The 20593-nt window shown below is 38.4% G+C and overlaps 1 annotated feature.

Annotated features, from left to right (window-relative positions):
* Positions 6783–7077: a silencer, noted in NCBI's record as "tiled region #7331; K562 Repressive non-DNase unmatched - State 24:Quies". NCBI's record gives its function as "represses a minimal TATA promoter and a strong SV40 promoter by Sharpr-MPRA in K562 cells {active_cell/tissue: K562}" and the evidence as "EXISTENCE:reporter gene assay evidence [ECO:0000049][PMID:27701403]".

Raw genomic sequence — 20593 nt, 5'->3', positions numbered from 1 at the left:
ATAGTGCAGAAAAGTGCATGCAAGACCAAAAAAACTATTCTTTTCAGCTGTCAGCATCAACTAAGTAAGAGCTTGAATTTCTGGGACTCCATTTCATGGCCTGGCTGTTGTTCAACTGCACTGTCTATACCAGATTTTTTCAGTCAGTCTCATTTGGCTGTGCTCAGCTACACATGGCCTCAGGGCAAACAAGGCCAAAGTGAAAGCAGAAATATTTTTCCTCAAGCCACATTTTCAACTTGGTGAAGAAATGAAGAGCTTCATCCTCAGGATCATAATGATAACTTTCTCCAAATTTCTTAGCAGTAGTTTAGAATTATCTTGTCAGTATCACTGTCTTTTGTAACAGGTGCTAGGAGACAACCAGCCACAGGTGAAGAGGATAGAAAAGTCATCTATAAACTCATTTAAAGGGGTGAAGTGTGTCCTCCGTTGTGCCTCTTCTTTGTAGAGAAGCAAGCATGTTGGGGCCTGATAACTGAATGGATGTACCTCTGCCCTAACCCAACATCTTCTACTCTCCTCCCAAATCCCTTCTTTCTCCTAGTTGCCCCTTGCCTTTTTCTCCGCAAATCCAGAGCTTCTCAAACTTGCAGGTGTCCTTGAATCATCTGTGAGCCTTGTTAAAAGGTAGATTCTCATTCTGGAGGTCTGAGGTTGATTTGGAGATCTGCATTTTTTTAACAGTCTCTTAGGAGATGCCCAGGCTGCTGGTCTGCAGGCCACATTTTGAGTGACAAGGTTCTATTTTACTTGTATAATTTATGATAGAGAGGATGAAGGTAGATTTTGGGGAGACAGAAAAGAGAATAATTTCTTTCTTCTTTTCTCCTCATCCTTCACAGTGAAACGAGTATTTCCTTTCTCTGCAAACAGAAACACTCGTCAATTGGGACAGGTGAGGCAAACTCTAAGAATATATAATTTTCTTTGTTGTACAATTACATATCTTTCGTAGAGTGATATATGGAGAGGAATTATGCAAGAAACCTAATTTTGTTTGCTTTTAATAGCAATTACTCACTAAATTAAAATGACTTTTTTTGGTATGCTTATTTTAAAGACAAAGGGAAAAGAAAATAAAATTATTTTTAGTGAGATTTAACCTGAATTGAATTAGGATAGGGTCAAGACTGGTGGTGAATTGGTAATACTTTAACCACTGGCTTTCCAGGAGAAGGGTGAGGGGCAAAGAAGTCTTGAGGTGTAGCATCTGCCCATTTTTATGGTATAAATACAAAAGTACCCTCATGGCTAAGTTCAAGTTACCCAACAAGAGGTCATTGAATACAAAACTAGGAAAAGATTTACACAATTGGCCTCCAGAGGAACCACTGAGAGACTCTCCACAAAGAGATAGTTGAAACTATATGAAAGATGACATAATCCAAGAAAAATTACAGAGAAAGTATGTTGAGGATTCTATCATCTTCTAGAACACTGAATATATATTAAGGCTTCTATTTCATTTATCTTTGTCTCATACTTAATTTCAGACTTGTTTCCTAGACATTAGATTATAAGACTGTTCTAAATATCTTTGATCCTTTTTATTTGCAGTAAAATATTTTAAATAGGTGTTGAATTGCAAATGGAGGGGAGCATAAAAATTGACTCCATTAAAATGATTCTTAAAGGAAAAAAGACAGCACATGTGTGTCTTGTTAATTAAAAATAAGAATACTAATAGAGTAAATCTCTACGATGACCACCTGTAGTTTTTTTAATAAAGGCAATGTTTTGTAACTTATGGATATTCTGAGCAAATGCCTATATTTCTAAAGTACTTTTACTGGAAGTTGTAAATTAGTTGTAAGGCAGCCTTTGAGATTTAGGTTGGAAGAAAGGTGAACAATAGAATCCTGAGGGAGACCACAGATAGTAAGGGTCTGCTTATGAACGGAAATTAAATCTAATCCATGAAGCAGAGAAAACGAATCTCATAAAAATTTCCTTGGGGGCTAAGGAAATAGAGCTAAAGGGATAGGACTTCTCTTCACATAATTTAAGTTTGTGAACAATTAAAGAATCCAGTTGCTGTAACAGAGAAGTGCTGAACAAAGTAGCATTTAACAAAAACACCCTCGGGTGCTAGTACCTGAAAATATAGAACAGAAATAGCTGCTGGATAGAAGAATTTTTAAAGAACAAAGTGATGTATTAAACTTTTCTACCCTTATTGAACTGCAGACTTCCCATTGGTCTACCTGTTCATAGGGTTTCTACCTGCACAGTCCCCCACACTCTCTAATACCTCATCATTTTAAGTAGCTTCTTGAGGGTGTTGGGATTTGGCTGATTCATCACAGAGGATAACCAGAAATATAAAAAAGCAAGACAATGATCTCAAGAGTCTCTTTGATAATATACCTGATAATTTTGTCATAATACCCAACCAGTGTAAGCAGATACTGTTATTTTAGAATGACAATGTACAACTATGAGTGATCTATTCTCTTTCGTATTCTGCACCTCATTGGCCAGCATGGGACACAAGTGGAAAAGTAAGGTACCTGATACTATTTAGAAGTAGGATCATTTGCTCTGCTATCGTAATTGTATGATAATATAGATTTGTGCATCTCACATCCGGTTCTCCATAGCAGTTACCCAAAGGTGCAGGCTTAGACCTTTCTTAAGCAAATAAAATATTTCCTTAATGGATTGATAACAACACCATCAGTTTTATCACTTCTGCAAATTCATCTTCTGACACAGATTCAGATTACCCTCGAATGTGCATTTAAGTATCGGATACCACCTAAATGTCAGAAGGAGGGAAAAAAAGACTAATCTCAGCAGTCTGGAAGAAGGATGTTGTCAAAGGTCATCAACAAGTCTGACAAAACAGTACTCATTAACAGTGTCTGTCAGCACCTCCATTTGGAAGTAATTTGGATATTTGCAGTGACCCCATCAATTCTGATTGGCTGGGCAGTGACCTTGACCAGGGTGAAACCTGTTCAGTGTAGCTCATACAATGCACTGTAGGTGGAATCCAGGATGACAGATGGCAGTGGGGTCAGTGAAGAGGAACTTGTCCGTCACTGCTATTGAAGATGAAACTAGTCAACAGTATAATTCAACTGGCACAGAAGTTGTATATGCCACAAGAGAATTATTTGCATATGCCACAAGAGAATTCTTTAAGTTCTTTTATTTTTAAAGAAACGTTATAGTCTCATGATCTCAGAGTTCATGAGACTGATGAATACGTGGCAAAGAGAGCATAGCTGCTAGACTTTAGCAACAGAGTAGACATTTCAAAACTTGTCTTTGACTCAAAAGTCAAGCCTGAAAAGTCATGCTGGCTATGTCTGTACCATGAATAAATTCCTTATCAAAAACTAGTTCCTTTAGTATATTTTTTTCATTCTTACAAACTGGGTTAGTTTCCTTCAGAGGTAATTGCCTTACTCTTGCTGGTAGACACATCCCTTTCTTTTACCTCTGTCACATACCATTGGATCAATGTGAAATAGAACTATAACAAAAGACTGTATTATACTTTCAAGTGCTGGATTAATGAGACTATAAAAGCAATCATATATTCTGGGAATAATTAACCTTTAATAAAACAATCTGGATTTTTTTTTGCCGTTTCAGAAGCACTTTTTTTTTACATAAAAACTAGGAATGGGTAGGATATTGAAAGACATAGCACTGTGTTTTAATTCTTAATAGTTCAAAAAAAATTAAGACCCATTAGTTGACAAAAGACCTAATGAAAATACATGTAAGTTCTAATGGTAACATATGTATAAAATGATAAATCAAAAAGAAAATATGCACAACTTTCAATTACTCATGGAATGTTTTAAAAATCTTAGAATCCTAAGAACTGAAGACCACTCCTACCCATTGACTGCCTGAGCTCAGGAGTTTTTCAAAAATCTTGACCCTTGGCTCCTTAAAATGTTTTTGGACAGAACAGAAGGAAAAGAGGAAAAGAGGAAGGAGAAAAGTAGATGAAAGGAGGAAAGGGAAAAGAAGAGAGAAAAGGTTAACAATTAGCCAATCAGCTCCAATCACAATGAATTTTAAAAAGTGAATTGATTTATAGAATAATGAAAGATTAAATCTATCACAGGAAACTGACAGATTATGTAGTTGGTTTCCTACATTGTGGGTTATTCTGCTCATTTTCTATATCTAGCATTTAGATGTGTTTCAATGTTTAGGACATGTTGAGAGTCCTTAATAAGAACCCACCAATCTTTGCTTAGTAATTAGACATCATGATTATTCCCATTCTAGTTTAAAAAGGAGACTTGCTGCAAAGCAAAGTACTATCTTGCTCATACAGACCCCAACCTACAGACATTTATGGATTATTTTTTCATTTTGTCATTTTGTAATCTCTTTGTCATAAGAGATTACATCATCCAAATGGCTTTTAGGATAGTGCATCGTTTTCACTGAAACACTTTGCCTAACTGAATTTGAGACACCTTCCATTCACGTAGAGTAGCTTTTATAAAAATTGCCTCAGCCAGGCTCATTTCAGCTATATTTACACTACTTGTTTTAATGTGCATATTGTCATGACACACAGATACTGCATTAAGTAATTAAGAGGCTGACTACATAGTGTCATTTGCTGTATGAAACTGAATCTGTGGATTCAATCAATAACCACGTGAAAGTGCCTAGAGCTCCAGGATTAAGACACAACCTGCTGAGTTAAGACGAGAGGTCCAAATGGGAGCATACTAATTTGTAACACCATCCTGCAAGTTTCAGTTCCATTTTAATTAGTCATAAAACATAACATAAGCCATGTTGTTAACTAAACCATCCAAGACAAAGTCTTCCTTTCCTTAGCAAAGATTCGAAATAGAGGTAAAAATAAAAGCAAATATTCAACTGAGCAGAAGAAGAGACATTAATTTTATCTGCCTTTCTGGGACATGACTTATATCCTGAAGAGGAACATAATCCTGTAATTGCTGTAGGCCTTCTTATGTTTTTGCTGACAAAAAAGCCATTTTTGAAGTGCTAATATCACTGTAAATACAACTCATTTAATATGAGTTTCTGTCATTCCACTGGTGAAAGGGCTATGCAGCTGTTGTTTGCTAAATTGTCATTTGTTGGGTTAAAAGTTCGTCCTACACATCCAGGGTATGGTCACCACTCAGGAATCAAATGACCACACCAGAACTACATACTATGTGGATCATATAATTTGTTTTGGATCGGCTTCCTTCCAGATGCTAAAATCTGGTATATTTATTAAGTGTTGGCTAAAACCCTGATTCACTCTGGAGTTTGACTGGAAAAGACTAATTGAATGGGACCCATCCCAACACATATGTCTCCTCAAAGCTGAAAGTGATTTAGGGCTTTGAGGGCAGTTAGTGACCATCGGATAGATTTGTACTCATTCTAGGCAGCTAGCGTGCAGCAGTGTTTCCATCCTACAAGAAAACTTGTGGTGAATATTTCCCAGATGGCTTTTGCAGACAGAGGTCTCTTACAAAAGAAGAAAAGAACACTTTAACAAAGTCCAAAGAGCAGCTCATGTTGAAGATTTTTTTTTTTTTTAAGGACAAATTCAGAGGCCTTTTCAAACTCTACAGGGTGCTTCTGGAATATGTTTGGAATGTAAACACATGCCTGACTGAATTGCCCAGCTGCTACCTGGCTTACAGAGTGACCTTTCATAGAGTTCTCAAATTTTAAATCAAAAAGAAATCTTGTTGAACCTTGGGGTCATTCTGTCCCTTTCTTTACAGAAAAGCAAAATGAAACTAAGGTAAGTTAAGTGATGCACTCACATAAACTGGGTTTCCATTCAAGCTGCCATGTTCCTTCTCATTCTGGAGGGTAACCTGGGCTCTGTGGTACAGGTGTAACTTCACAGCATGATATTTATTGGTGACATTCTCTCTTGCTTCATATTCATTTATTCTTTCCCTTTCAGTTCTGCTTCATTCCCTTTCTGTTTCCTGCATTTACTCCTGTTCTCCTACTCTTTTTTGCGATTACTCTTTTTAAAAACATCTCTCGGCCGAGCATGGTGGCTCACGCCTGTAATCCCAGCACTTCGGGAGGCCGAGACAGGTAAATCACGAGGTCAGGAGTTTGAGACCAGCCTGGGCAACATGGTGAAACCTCATCTCTACTAAAAATACAAAAAATTAGCTGGGTGTGGTGGCATGCCTGTAATCCCAGCTACTCGGGAGGCTGAGACAAGAGAACCTCTTGAACCCGGGAGGCGGAGGTGGCAGTGAGCTGAGATCTGGCCACTGCACTCCAGCCTGGGCAACAGTATGAGACTCCATCTCAAAAAAAAAAAAAAAAAAGTATGTTCAGTTGATTAAAGGATTACTTACAACTAGCTCAGGAAGAGAAAACAACACCTCTAAAATGCAGATGTAACTGATGTGGCTTGAATGAGACAGGAATTTGAATGTCCCATTTTACACCAAGGTGAGCTAATCCAGACATGTAATTTAAGCTTTTTAAGGTTTTAAGGAATCTATCTGACAATTGTGGATTTAACTTCCCTTCCCAAGTGAGAATTGACTCAAATATTTCCCCCATTATTTGTTATCATCACACACACCTATATACACATACTCATACTCTACAACTGGACTACAAATGTCAAAAAGAAATAAGCCCATTTAAATAAAAGTGAATTAACTTAATCTTCAATCTTATATATCCAGAATGTGTTATTGTAGCCACAAAACAATGACTGTTGGAGATACCATGTTAACATTACAGAAATGTATTGTAATCCTAATCATTAACCATCATGCAGTCTACAAATGAAGGAGATGAGAGTAACCCAGGGTAGTGAAAGATTTTATGAGAGCAGCAGAAAATATTCACAGTAAGACACAGATGGGGAAATGTGTCATGTGGAATGCAAGTTTGACTAACAGAAGCCCAGTGGTTGGGATGAGATGAAAGCGTAATGCAGAGCCCAGTGGGAAGAGGCACAGAGTACACTGGCACAAAGTGCAGTGGCTCATGCTGATGGAATGACTGAAAGACGCAGCAAAGGAGCAAAATGAGCTCCTTTAGCTGAGCCTTAAGCAATCACCACCTCTGACTAATATCAGCCCAGGATGGTGAAAGGTCATTCAGCAGCAAATTGGATGACATGGTTTATTCTATATAACTAAGAAGTATTTGGAGTGAACTGTTAGAGATTAAGTCCTAGTATGGCAGGTTAAATTAGAGATAATTTACTTTGCTCTCACTCTGTTTTCTCTCCTCCTCCCAGGCCATAGTACTCCCCTGCCCCTTGAGATTTTTGCATAGCTTGATTAAAAATTAAATTGCTTCGACAAAATTGCCTCTGGGCTTTAGTTTTCTAGTGCCTGAATTCTTTCAGGGGACCATGCTGGGGAATCGGAAGAGAGCAATAACTGGGAGGAAGAATGAGGGAGGAGATTTTTAGAGGCTAGGAAAGGAAGAAAGTCTTCTGGTCCTAGAGCAGCGGGGAATCTCTCTGGCTTCCCAGTGAGTAGCAGAGACTAAGAAGGTGACAATGATGGGGCTTTCAGACAGTCAAAGACCCTGGCTGTACTAGACATGTGATTGACAGAAGAGGCTCATTTCAAGAATCCTCCTGGCTTAGAAAACAAGGTCATCCACAGTGATCCTGACTGGAGTAGCACCCAGATTCCTGTGCAGTTGCAATAACAGTGATGACTGCCAGGCTGGTATTCTGAAAATTGTCCCTGTTAAATTATTTTAAAACATTTTTGTATTGCAAACTACATACAATTTTGTTGTGATGCCAGGTTACTTTGACATTTGGAAATCTCACCCTTATGCCTTGAATTCAAAGCATATGAATCTCTTACTCCATTTTTTTCTTCCTTGACTCCAATCCACCCACAGCCTGCAGTCGTAGGCAGATCTGTGCTTCTATGAGTCATACTGTACTGTCACATTGAGTAACTTGCAGTATAAGGAAAGAAAGAAAAGTTCTCTAATTTAGACATTAGATTTACCAAATCAACAGGATTTCAACATGACAGAAACTGTTTTTGGTACTTTTGCATCTGACTGTGCATGAACCAAGAAAGAAGAAAACAAACTGGAAAGTGTACTTTGAAACAAAATACAACTCTTGCCAATAAAAATTTGTTATCCTTGTTTAAAAAAAATTGTCTACCCAAAGTTATCAAAGGAGAATTGGGATTATTTGAAGAATAAAAAGGTAGAAGGAAATAGTTGGAGTTAAAATACCTCAGCATTCTTCCTTCAACTGGTATAGAGGCATAAATTGCTTTTAATTAGCATATTAAAAATTGCGTACAAATATTATGACTCAAAGGCACACTAGTCCGGGGTTATATATATAGCTTTTCTTGAGATATAATTTATATGCCATTCAATTCACCCATGTAGATGTACATAAATTGTGCAACTACCACCATAATCTAGTATATTTTTATCACCTCAAAAAGAAATCCTGTACTGTGTAGCAGTCAGTTTTAATCCTCTTCCCCTTCTTCCACTCTAGGCAGCCACTAGCTTATGTTCTATCTCTATGGGTTTTCTCATTCTAGACATTTCAGATATATGGAATTACACAATATATAGTCACCTGTGACTAGTTTCTTTCACTTAGCATGATGTTTTCAATGTTCATATATGTAGCACATAGGAGTATTTCATTTTTTTGATTGCCTAATTTTCTATTGTATGGATGTATCACCTTAAGTTTATCCACTTATCAGTTTATGGATATTTGAGTTGTTTCTACTTTTTAGTTTTATGGATAATTTGTGTACATATATGAGGTTGAACTTTACAATGATCAAATAGTATTTTATTTTCATTATTTATGATTCATTAAAGGTCCATGTCATATTAACCTTATGTTAATTAACTTTATTTTCTAAAATTTGTATCCAAAGGTATGTTTACAATTTACACTTCTTTGAATTACATATTTAATATTTTCTATTATAAATATTTTATAAGGAGTACACTAAAATTTTGTAAGTTATAAATGTATGGCATAGATATATTTTTATTATATGACTTCTGTCAAAATCGGTAAATATTTTACGTAATACTACTACTCCTAGTCCTCACTTTCTTGCTTCAATGAATTGTCTAGATGAAACCATCCTCAGTGATTGCTGAGTCTGAAAGTTTTCACTTCCCATCTCTTTGATATTATACTCCCTAAATTTGGAAGGAGAAAATTGGACTCCTTGCATACTAGGCTTTCAGGAATGATTGACACCCTCATCAATTTGTAGCCATAGATGCTGTTTTAAGGCATACTCTGTTAAATATCACCACTGCTCAGAGTGTGGCAACTCATTAGTACCAGGACACCTGGTCCTGAAATAGTAGTGCTCACAAAACCAGAGATAATGCTGTTCCTCAAACATAAGAGATGAGCAGAACACTCAAAATCATCCTTTAGAACTAATGTGATACCCTTATTTATAAGTATTGAAAGCCTTTTCACATGTAGATAAGAAAACTTGATATTCTGTTTCAGGAGGCAATACAGCACTGAGACAGAGCAAATTCTCCTCTTAGCTTCTCTCCCCACCATTCATTCCCTTACCACAAGAATGACAATGGGAGAGAATTCACCATGATCTCATTTTATGCTTTCAATATTCCTTGATACATAGTTGATTCTGGAAATACATATGGAAAGTTGCATCACAATGTGAACAATACAGTATAAACTTTTAATTTTTAGGCTGGGTGTGGTGACTTATGCCTGTAATCCCAGCCTGTAATCCCTGTAATCGCAGCACCTTGTGAGGTCGAGGCAGGTGGATCGCTTTAGGCCAGGAGTTTGAGACCAGTCTGGCCCATGTGGTGAAACCCCTTTTGTACTAAAATTACAAGAAAATTAGCCAGACACGGTGGCACATGCCTGTAATCCCAATCTGGAGGCTGAGGCAGGAGAATTGCTTGAACCCCTAAGGCGGAGGTTGCAGTGAGCCAAAATCGCACCACTACACTCCAGCCTGGGTGACAGAGCCAGACTCTGTCTCAAAAACAACAACAAACAAACAAACCTTTTAATTTTTAAAGAAAATTACACCTGCTTAGGCCTATAGGCACATATTCCTTATTAAGTTTCCTATTTACATGGATTACTTGAATGATAATGCTAACTAGCTAAAGTGCTAGGTAGGACCAAAAAGATTATTAGTTAACCTGCCGTAGAAATGCTTTACATCTTAATCTGGATAGAACTTGCCAATTGACATTGATCTTAACATGTTAACTGATTGACCCAAGACCTATTTTAGCCAATTAACTACTTAGTATTCTATTGTACTAGAGTCCATAAAGGCACCAGAGAATAATGCAGGTGATAGTCTTCCCCAGTCTTGGAGCTAAAGCAAATTAAAATGATGAGCAACTGGATAGTTCATGTATATGCATGACTTACGTGAGCCTGTCAGTAGTGATGCCCTCAGAAAAATATTTCCTCTAACCATGTTCTGTGAAACACTAACCCCCATCTCACCCACTAAGCTCAAGCAAGAAATGCTGCACGCTGCATTCCTGTCTTCTTAAGTATGCACATTGTGTTGTTGTTTACTAACGGCTAAAGAATTCTGCAATAAAGCAACTGATTTAATTTTGTGTATTCCATCCAGCTTTGCTCAGTTACTCTCACAGCCCACTTAGCTCCTTGTTGAAATTTTTAATTTCTTTGAGTAAATACTATTAACATGCTTTGAAAATTATGTTCCAAGATCATGTGTTGACTGTTTTTGACAATTTAACTGCTTTTGACAAAATTTATTTTTTTTTCTTCTTTTTTTCTTTTTCTTTATTTTATTATTATACTTTAAGTTTTAGGGTACGTGTGCACATTGTGCAAGTTAGTTACATATGTATACATGTGCCATGCTGGTGCGCTGCACCCACTAACTCGTCATCTAGCATTAGGTATTATCCCAGTGCTATCCCTCCCCCCTCCCCCCACCCCACAACAGTCCCCAGAGTGTGATGTTCCCCTTCCTGTGTCCATGTGATCTCATTGTTCAATTCCCACCTATGAGTGAGAATATGCGGTGTTTGGTTTTTTGTTCTTGCGATAGTTTACTGAGAACGATGATTTCCAATTTCATCCATGTCCCTACGAAGGACATGAACTCATCCTTTTTTATGGCTGCATGGTATTCCATGGTGTATATGTGCCACATTTTCTTAATCCAGTCTATCATTGTTGGACATTTGGGTTGGTTCCAAGTCTTTGCTATTGTGAATAGTGCCACAATAAACATACGTGTGCATGTGTCTTTATAGCAGCATGATTTCTAGTCCTTTGGGTATATACCCAGTAATGGGATGGCTGGGTCAAATGGTATTTCTAGTTCTAGATCCCTGAGGAATCGCCACACTGACTTCCACAATGGTTGAACTAGTTTACAGTCCCACCAACAGTGTAAAAGTGTTCCTATTTCTCCACATCCTCTCCAGCACCTGTTGTTTCCTGACTTTTTAATGATTGCCATTCTAACTGGTGTGAGATGGTATCTCATTGTGGTTTTGATTTGCATTTCTCTGATGGCCAGTGATGATGAGCATTTTTTCATGTGTTTTTTGGCTGCATAAATGTGTTCTTTTGAGAAGTGTCTGTTCATGTTCTTTGCCCACTTTTTGATGGGGTTGTTTGTTTTTTTCTTGTAAATTTGAGTTCATTGTAGATTCTGGATATTAGCCCTTTGTCAGATGAGTAGGTTGCGAAAATTTTCTCCCATGTTGTAGGTTGCCTGTTCACTCTGATGGTAGTTTCTTTTGCTGTGCAGAAGCTCTTTAGTTTAATTAGATCCCATTTGTCAATTTTGGCTTTTGTTGCCATTGCTTTTGGTGTTTTAGACATGAAGTCCTTGCCCATGCCTATGTCCTGAATGGTATTGTCTGGGTTTTCTTCTAGGGTTTTTATGGTTTTAGGTCTAACGTTTAAGTCTTTAATCCATCTTGAACTGATTTTTGTATAAGGTGTAAGGAAGGGATCCAGTTTCAGCTTTCTACATATGGCTAGCCAGTTTTCCCAGCACCATTTATTAAATAGGGAATCCTTTCCCCATTGCTCGTTTTTCTCAGGTTTTCTCAGGTTTGTCAAAGATCAGATAGTTGTAGATATGCGGCATTATTTCTGAGGGCTCTGTTCTGTTCCATTGGTCTACATCTCTGTTTTGGTACCAGTACCATGCTGTTTTGGTTACTGTAGCCTTGTAGTATAGTTTGAAGTCAGGTAGTGTGATGCCTCCAGCTTTGTTCTTTTGGCTTAGGACTGACTTGGCGATGCGGGCTCTTTTTTGGTTCCATATGAGCTTTAAAGTAGTTTTCTCCAATTCTGTGAAGAAAGGCATTGGTAGCTTGATGGGGATGGCATTGAATCTGTAAATTACCTTGGGCAGTATGGCCATTTTCACGATATTGATTCTTCCTACCCATGAGCATGGAATGTTCTTCCATTTGTTTGTATCCTCTTTTATTTCCTTGAGCAGTGGTTTGTAGTTCTCCTTGAAGAGGTCCTTCACATCCCTTGTAAGTTGGATTCCTAGGTATTTTATTCTCTTGGAAGCAATTGTGAATGGGAGTTCACTCACGATTTAGCTCTCTGTTTGTCTGTTATTGGTGTATAAGAATGCTTGTGATTTGTGTACATTGATTTTGTATCCTGAGACTTTGCTGAAGTTGCTTATCAGCTTAAGGAGATTTTGGGCTGAGACAGTGGGGTTTTCTAGATATACAATCATGTCGTCTGCAAAGAGGGACAATTTGACTTCCTCTTTTCCTAATTGAATACCCTTTATTTCCTTCTCCTGCCTGATTGCCCTGGACAGAACTTCCAAAACTATGTTGAATATGAGTGGTGAGAGAGGGCATCCCTGTCTTGTGCCAGTTTTCAAAGGGAATGCTTCCAGTTTTTGCCCATTCAGTATGATATTGGCTGTGGGTTTGTCATAAATAACTCTTATTATTTTGAAATATGTCCCATCAATACCTAATTTATTGAGAGTCTTTAGCATGAAGCGTTGTTGAATTTTGTCAAAGGCCTTTTCTGCATCTATTGAGATAATCATGTGGTTTTTGTCTTTGGCTCTGTTTATACACTGGATTACATTTATTGATTTGTGTATATTGAACAAGCCTTGCATCCCAGGGATGAAGCCCACTTGATCATGGTGGATAAGCTTTTTGATGTGCTGCTGGATTCTGTTTGCCAGTATTTTATTGAGGATTTTTGCATCAATGTTCATCAAAGATATTGGTCTAAAATTCTCTTTTTTGGTTGTGTCTCTGCCAGGCTTTGGTATCAGAATGATGCTGGCCTCATAAAAAGAGTTAGGGAGGATTCCCTCTTTTTCTATTGATTGGAATAGTTTCAGAAGGAATGGTACCAGTTCCTCCTTGTACCTCTGGTAGAATTCGGCTGTGAATCCATCTGGTCCTGGACTCTTTTTGGTTGGTAAGCTTTTGATTATTGCCACAATTTCAGATCCTGTTATTGGTCTATTCAGAGATTCAACTTCTTCCTGGTTTAGTCTTGGGAGAGTGTATGTGCCGAGGAATTTATCCATTTCTTCTAGATTTTCTAGTTTATTTGCATAGAGGTGTTTGTAGTATTCTCTGATGGTAGTCTATATTTCTGTGGGATCAGTAGTGATATCCCCTTTATCATTTTTTATTGCGTCTATTTGATTCTTCTCTCTTTTTTTCTTTATTAGTCTTGCTAGCGGTCTATCTATTTTGTCGATCCTTTCAAAAAACCAGCTCCTGGATTCATTAATTTTTTGAAGGGTTTTTTGTGTCTCTATTTCCTTCAGTTCTGCTCTGATTTTAGTTATTTCTTGCCTTCTGCTAGCTTTTGAATGTGTTTGCTCTTGCTTTTCTAGTTCTTTTAATTGTGATGTTAGGGTGTCAATTTTGGATCTTTCCTGCTTTCTCTTGTGGGCATTTAGTGCTATAAATTTCCCTCTACACACTGCTTTGAATGCATCCCAGAGATTCTGGTATGTTGTGTCTTTGTTCTCATTGGTTTCAAAGAGCATCTTTATTTCTGCCTTCATTTCGTTATGTACCCAGTAGTCGTTCAGGAGCAGGTTGTTCAGTTTCCATGTAGTTGAGCGGTTTTGAGTGAGATTCTTAATCCTGAGTTCTAGTTTGATTGCACTGTGGTCTGAGAGATAGTTTGTTATAATTTGTGTTCTTTTACATTTGCTGAGGAGAGCTTTACTTCCAAGTATGTGGTCAATTTTGGAATAGGTGTGGTGTGGTGCTGAAAAAAATGTATATTCTGTTGATTTGGGGTGGAGAGTTCTGTAGATGTCTCTTAGGTCTGCTTGGTTCAGAGCTGAGTTCAATTCCTGGGTATCCTTGTTGACTTTCTGTCTCGTTGATCTGTCTAATGTTGACAGTGGGGTGTTAAAGTCTCCCATTATTAATGTGTGGGAGTCTAAGTCTCTTTGTAGGTCACTCAGGACTTGCTTTATGAATCTGGGTGCTCCTGTATTGGGTGCATATATATTTAGGATAGTTACCTCTTCTTGTTGAATTGATCCCTTTACCATTATGTAATGGCCTTCTTTGTCTCTTTTGATCTTTGTTCGTTTAAAGTCTGTTTTGTCAGAGACTAGGATTGCAATCCCTGCCTTTTTTTGTTTTCCATTTTCTTGGTAGATCTTCCTCCATCCTTTTATTTTGAGCCTATATGTGTCTCTGCACGTGAGATGGGTTTCCTGAATACAGCACACTGATGGGTCTTGACTCTTTATCCAATTTGCCAGTCTGTATCTTTTAATTGGAGCATTTAGTCCATTTACATTTAAAGTTAATATTTTTATGTGTGAATTTGATCCTGTCATGATGATGTTAGCTGGTTATTTTGTTTGTTAGTTGATGCAGTTTCTTCTTAGTCTCGATGGTCTTTACATTTTGGCATGATTTTGCAGCAGCTGGTACCGGTTGTTCCTTTCCATGTTTAGCGCTTCCTTCAGGAGCTCTTTTAGGGCAGGCCTGGTGGTGACAAAATCTCTTAGCATTTGCTTGTCTGTAAAGTATTTTATTTCTCCTTCACTTATGAAGCTTAGTTTGGCCGGATATGAAATTCTGGGTTGAAAATTCTTTTCTTTAAGAATGTTGAATATTGGCCCCCACGGTCTTCTGGCTTGTAGGGTTTCTGCTGAGAGATCTGCTGTTAGTCTGATGGGCTTCCCTTTGAGGGTAACCCGACCTTTCTCTCTGGCTGCCCTTAACATTTTTTCCTTCATTTCAACTTCGGTGAATCTGACAATTATGTGTCTTGGAGTTGCACTTCTCGAGGAGTATCTTTGTGGCGTTCTCTGTATTTCCTGAATCTGAACGTTGGCCTGCCTTGCTAGATTGGGGAAGTTCTCCTGGATAATATCCTGCAGAGTGTTTTCCAACTTGGTTCCATTCTCCCCGTCACTTTCAGGTACACCGATCAGACATAGATTTGGTCTTTTCACATAGTCCCATATTTCTTGGAGGCTTTGCTCATTTCTTTTTATTCTTTTTTCTCTAAACTTCCCTTCTCGCTTCCTTTCATTCATTTCATCTTCCATTGCTGATACCCTTTCTTCCAGTTGATCGCATCGGCTCCTGAGGCTTCTGCATTCTTCACATAGTTCTCGAGCCTTGGTTTTCAGCTCCATCAGCTCCTTTAAGCACTTCTCTGTATTGGTTATTCTAGTTATACATTCTTCTAAGTTTTTTTCGAAGTTTTCAACTTCTTTGCCTTTGGTTTGAATGTCCTCCTGTAGCTCAGAGTAATTTGATCATCTGAAGCCTTCTTCTTTCTGCTCGTCAAAGTCATTCTCCGTCTAGCTTTGTTCCGTTGCTGGTGAGGAACTGCGTTCCTTTGGAGGAGGAGAGGTGCTCTGCTTTTTAGAGTTTCCAGTTTTTCTGTTCTGTTTTTTCCCCATCTTTGTGGTTTTATCTACTTTTGGTCTTTGATGATGGTGATGTACAGATGGGTTTTTGGTGTGGATGTCCTTTCTGTTTGTTAGTTTTCCTTCTAACAGACAGGACCCTCAGCTGCAGGTCTGTTGGAGTACCCTGCCGTGTGAGGTGTCAGTGTGCCCCTGCTGGGGGGTGCCTCCCAGTTAGGCTGCTCGGGGGTCAGGGGTCAGGGACCCACTTGAGGAGGCAGTCTGCCCGTTCTCAGATCTCCAGCTGCGTACTGGGAGAACCACTGCTCTCTTCAAAGCTGTCAGACAGGGACATTTAAGTCTGCAGAGGTTACTGCTGTCTTTTTGTTTATCTGTGCCCTGCCCCCAGAGGTGGAGCCTACAGAGGCAGGCAGGCCTCCTTGAGCTGTGGTGGGCTCCCCCCAGTTCCAGCTTCCCGGCTGCTTTGTTTACCTAAGCAAGCCTGGGCAATGGCGGGCGCCCCTCCCCCAGCCTGGCTGCCGCCTTGCAGTTTGATCTCAGACTGCTGTGCTAGCAATCAGCGAGACTCCGTGGGCGTAGGACCCTCCGAGCCAGGTGCGGGATATAATCACATGGTGCGCTGTTTTTTAAGCCCGTCGGAAAAGCGCAGTATTCGGGTGGGAGTGACCCGATTTTCCAGGTGCCGTCTGTCACCCCTTTCTTTGACCAGGAAAGGGAACTCCCTGACCCCTTGTGCTTCCCGAGTGAGGCAATGCCTCACCCTGCTTCGGCTCGCACACGGTGCATGCACCCACTGACCTGCGCCCAATGTCTGGCACTCCCTAGTGAGATGAACCCAGTACCTCAGATGGAAATGCAGAAATCACCCGTCTTCTGCGTCGCTCACGCTGGGAGCTGTAGACTGGAGCTGTTCCTATTTGGCCATCTTGGCTCCTCCCCCTGCTTTTGACAATTTAAAATTCAGTCACATCCAAAGTAAAATTGGCCTTGCAAAGTTAGAAAGGAAGAAAAAAATCAAACAACCCCATCAAAAAGTGGGCAAAGGATATGAACAGACACTTCTCAAAAGAAGACATTTATGCAGCCAACAGACACATGAAAAAAGGTCATCATCACTGGCTATCAGAGAAATGCAAATCAAAACCACAATGAGATACCATCTCACACCAGTTAGAATGACGATCAGTAAAAGTCAGGAAACAACAGATGCTGGAGAGGATGTGGAGAAATAGGAACACTTTTACACTGTTGGTGGGAAGGTAAACTAGTTCAACCATTGTGGAAGACAGTGGCGATTCTTCAAGGATCTAGAACTAGAAATACCATTTGACCCAGCCATCCCATTACTGGGTATATACCCAAAGGATTATAAATCATGCTGCTATAAAGACACATGCACACATATGTTTATTGTGGCACTATTCAAAATAGCAAAGACCTGAAACCAACCCAAATGTCCAACAATGATAGACTGGATTAAGAAAATGTGGCACATATACACCATGGAATACTATGCAGCCATTAAAAAAGGATGAGTTCATGTCTTTTGTAGAGACATGAATGAAGCTGGAAACCGTCATTCTCAGTAAACTATTGCAAGGACAGAAAACCAAACTCCGCATGTTCTCACTCATAGGTGGGAATTGAACAATGAGAACACTTGGACACAGGGTGGGGAACATCACACACCGGGGCCTGTTGTGGGGTGGGGGGAGGGGAGAGGGATAGCATTAGGAGGTATACCTAATGTAAATGACGAGTTAATGGGTGCAGCGCACCAACATGGCACATATATACATATGTAACAAACCTGCATGTTGTGCACCTGTAACCCTAGAACTTAAAGTATAATAATAAAAATAAAAAATAAAGCTTCTTTATTGCCTTAAAATTCTTTTACCTCACTTTTCAATCCTCTGACAAGATAAAGCTCTTTGAGATACATTTAGTATTGTTACCCCTATTGAATAATGGTTAAAATAAAGAAAATGGGAGTGACCTAGTACAATGGAATAAGGAATAAAAATTAGGAATTGTAAATTTTGGCTGTGTACGGCAGGAGGCTTGGGGATTTAAGATTTAGTTGGCAGGATACAGTTAGGTCCACTGCACTTAGTTCAGGGATGGCAAAAACATGATTAGTCCAACCCAAATGTGAATCCCAGTTGGCAACAAGAGATATCCAGGAATTCTGGGCCTGACTGCTGATTCTCCTAGTTCCTCTTCCAGATGCAAGACCACTAGGGAGTAGCGACTCAAGAAGATGACACAGAGGTTGGCAGTATTGCATGTGATTCAGGGGAAGAAAGGGTTCATGTGGGTTTGCCTAACAATGAAGTGTGTGATGTGATGACTACACCACAGGGGGACCAAGTGTGAGCAGAGAGCCAACGGGTGCCCCAGGGATTTTGAGGAGCCAATCAGAGTTAATTGTGCATATAAGAAGTTAGATCACTGTAAGAATTCATTTGTAAACTAGAGCTGCTTGGTAATAACAAACATGCATTTACAACAGACAAGACTGCAGCATTTATTATACTTTCAGCATTTGAAAATGCTTGCTATTAACATAAAAAGTACAGCTCTGACTAGAAATTATCAGAATTATATGGTACAATTATTAAAGTTGTATTCTTGCAGTACCTCCCATATTAATAAGATAATATTAAGATATTAAGAAGACAATATTATCTTCTTTGGCACACAGCTAGAAAATTCTCTTGTTCTAATTCTCCAATAGTTTCTAGGCATTTGTTCTTATGGAGCAATTTAAAATCCATAAAACTTTATTGAGAAATTACTGTGTACAAGCAAACATGCCAGACAATAAACGGGAGATAACCATGTGGAAAGAACTCTTCCCTCCAGGAGTTTATCCTCAATGAAGTGCAATTCGATTATGATGTAAGCCAATTGAGGTTCTGAAATAATTCACTTTGCTTAACACATATTTTTTATTTTTTGTAGAAACCGTATATTTAACATGTACAACATGATGTTTTAATACATATATGGAATAAAATAAGCAAATTAACATATTCATTTCCTCACTTACTTTATTATTGTCATGAGAGCACCTGAAATGTTCTCTTAGAAAATTTCCATGTGTCTGGTTTATTAATTTTGCATAATGTCCTCCAGGTTCATCCATGTTGTTGTAAGTGGCAGAATTTCCTTTCTTAAGGCTGCATAATACCTCATTTTGTGTGTGTGTGTGTGTATGTTATATAAGTTACATATGTTATATACAAGTTATATATATATACACACACACAAGTTTATATATACACACACACACACACACACACACAAAATGAGGTATTATGTAGCCTTAAACTTATATAAGTTTTATTTATATTCATTACATACTGTAATTTTGTTATCCATTCACCTGTCTACAAAACTTAGGTTGTTTTCTTGTTTTGCCTAACATGAATAATACTACAATGAACACGGGAGTGCAGAATATCACTCTGAGGTACTGAGTTCATTTCCTCTGGTATATACCCAGATGGGGACTTGCTGGATCATATGGTAGTTCTATTAATTGTTAATTTTTTATTTTTGATGAATCTACATGCTTTTTCCCATAATTGTATTCCCCTAAGAGCATGCAAAAGTTCCCTTTTCTCCACATTCTCGCCAGCACTTGTTATCTCTTATCTTTTCATTAACAGCCATCTTAACAGGTGTGAGGTGATAGCTCACTGTAGTTTTGCTGTGCATGTCCCTGATGATTAGTGATGTTGAGAACCTTTACATATACTTGTTGGCCATTTTTGTCTCCTTTGAAAAAATGTCTACTCAGATCCTTTGTCCATTTTTTACTTTTTAATTAGATTGCTTTTCTTTTTTCTTTTGTTCTTTTTTTTGGCTACTGAATTGTGTAGGCTCTTTATATGTTGGGGATGTTAAATCCTTATCAGATACATGGCTTGCAATATTTTCTTTCAATCTCTTGACTGTCTTTCCATTTTGGTACTTGTTTCCTTTTTTGTGTAGAAGCTTTTTAGTTTGGTGGAGTCCCACTTTATTGTTACTTTTGTACCCTGAGCTTTTGGTAGGATATCCCAAATATCATTGCCCAGACCAAGATCAAGAAGCTTTTAGCCTATGTTTTCTTCTAGGATTTTTATGGTTTCAGGTCTGATGTTTAAGTCTTCAATCCATTTCGAGTTGAGTGTGTGTGTGTGTGTGTGTGTGTGTGTGTGTGTGTGTGTGTGTGTTTTATAAGATAAAGATTCAATACTGATTGTATGTTCTCAATAGAAATATTCTGATGTTGGTCAAAGATATGAAAAAGATGCTAATTCTGGTAAATCCATCTATTTTGGTGACCTATGCCAGGCCAGAAAAGCTTTTAAGTTGAGAAGGGACATTTACACAAGCATAGCAGTATATCAGATCACACAGAGTGTTCATCAAAAAAGAACTGAAACTTGACTGGTTTTTAAATAAATTGAGATATTGTGACTGAACCTCAAATTAGGCTCATTTTCTATGTCCTTGAGATATCAAACTTCTGTTATCTGTAAGGAGATTAACAATCTTGAATAGTTTTTTTTTTTCCCACCTGGTAAAATGCCACTGTAGGTAGTCATTTCAATCAAAATGATTAAGGTGGACTCATCCCAGAAAAGACAGGGTCACTGCACACGTTTGTCTCAGTGATAGGTTATCCTGAGTGATTATAGTATCAGAATACATTA

This window comes from Homo sapiens, chromosome 7 (genome assembly GCF_000001405.40).
Source record: "Homo sapiens chromosome 7, GRCh38.p14 Primary Assembly".
NCBI lineage: Eukaryota > Metazoa > Chordata > Mammalia > Primates > Hominidae > Homo > Homo sapiens.
The sequence above is the reverse complement of the archived record's forward strand: the minus strand, read 5'-3'. Positions and strand labels throughout refer to the sequence as shown.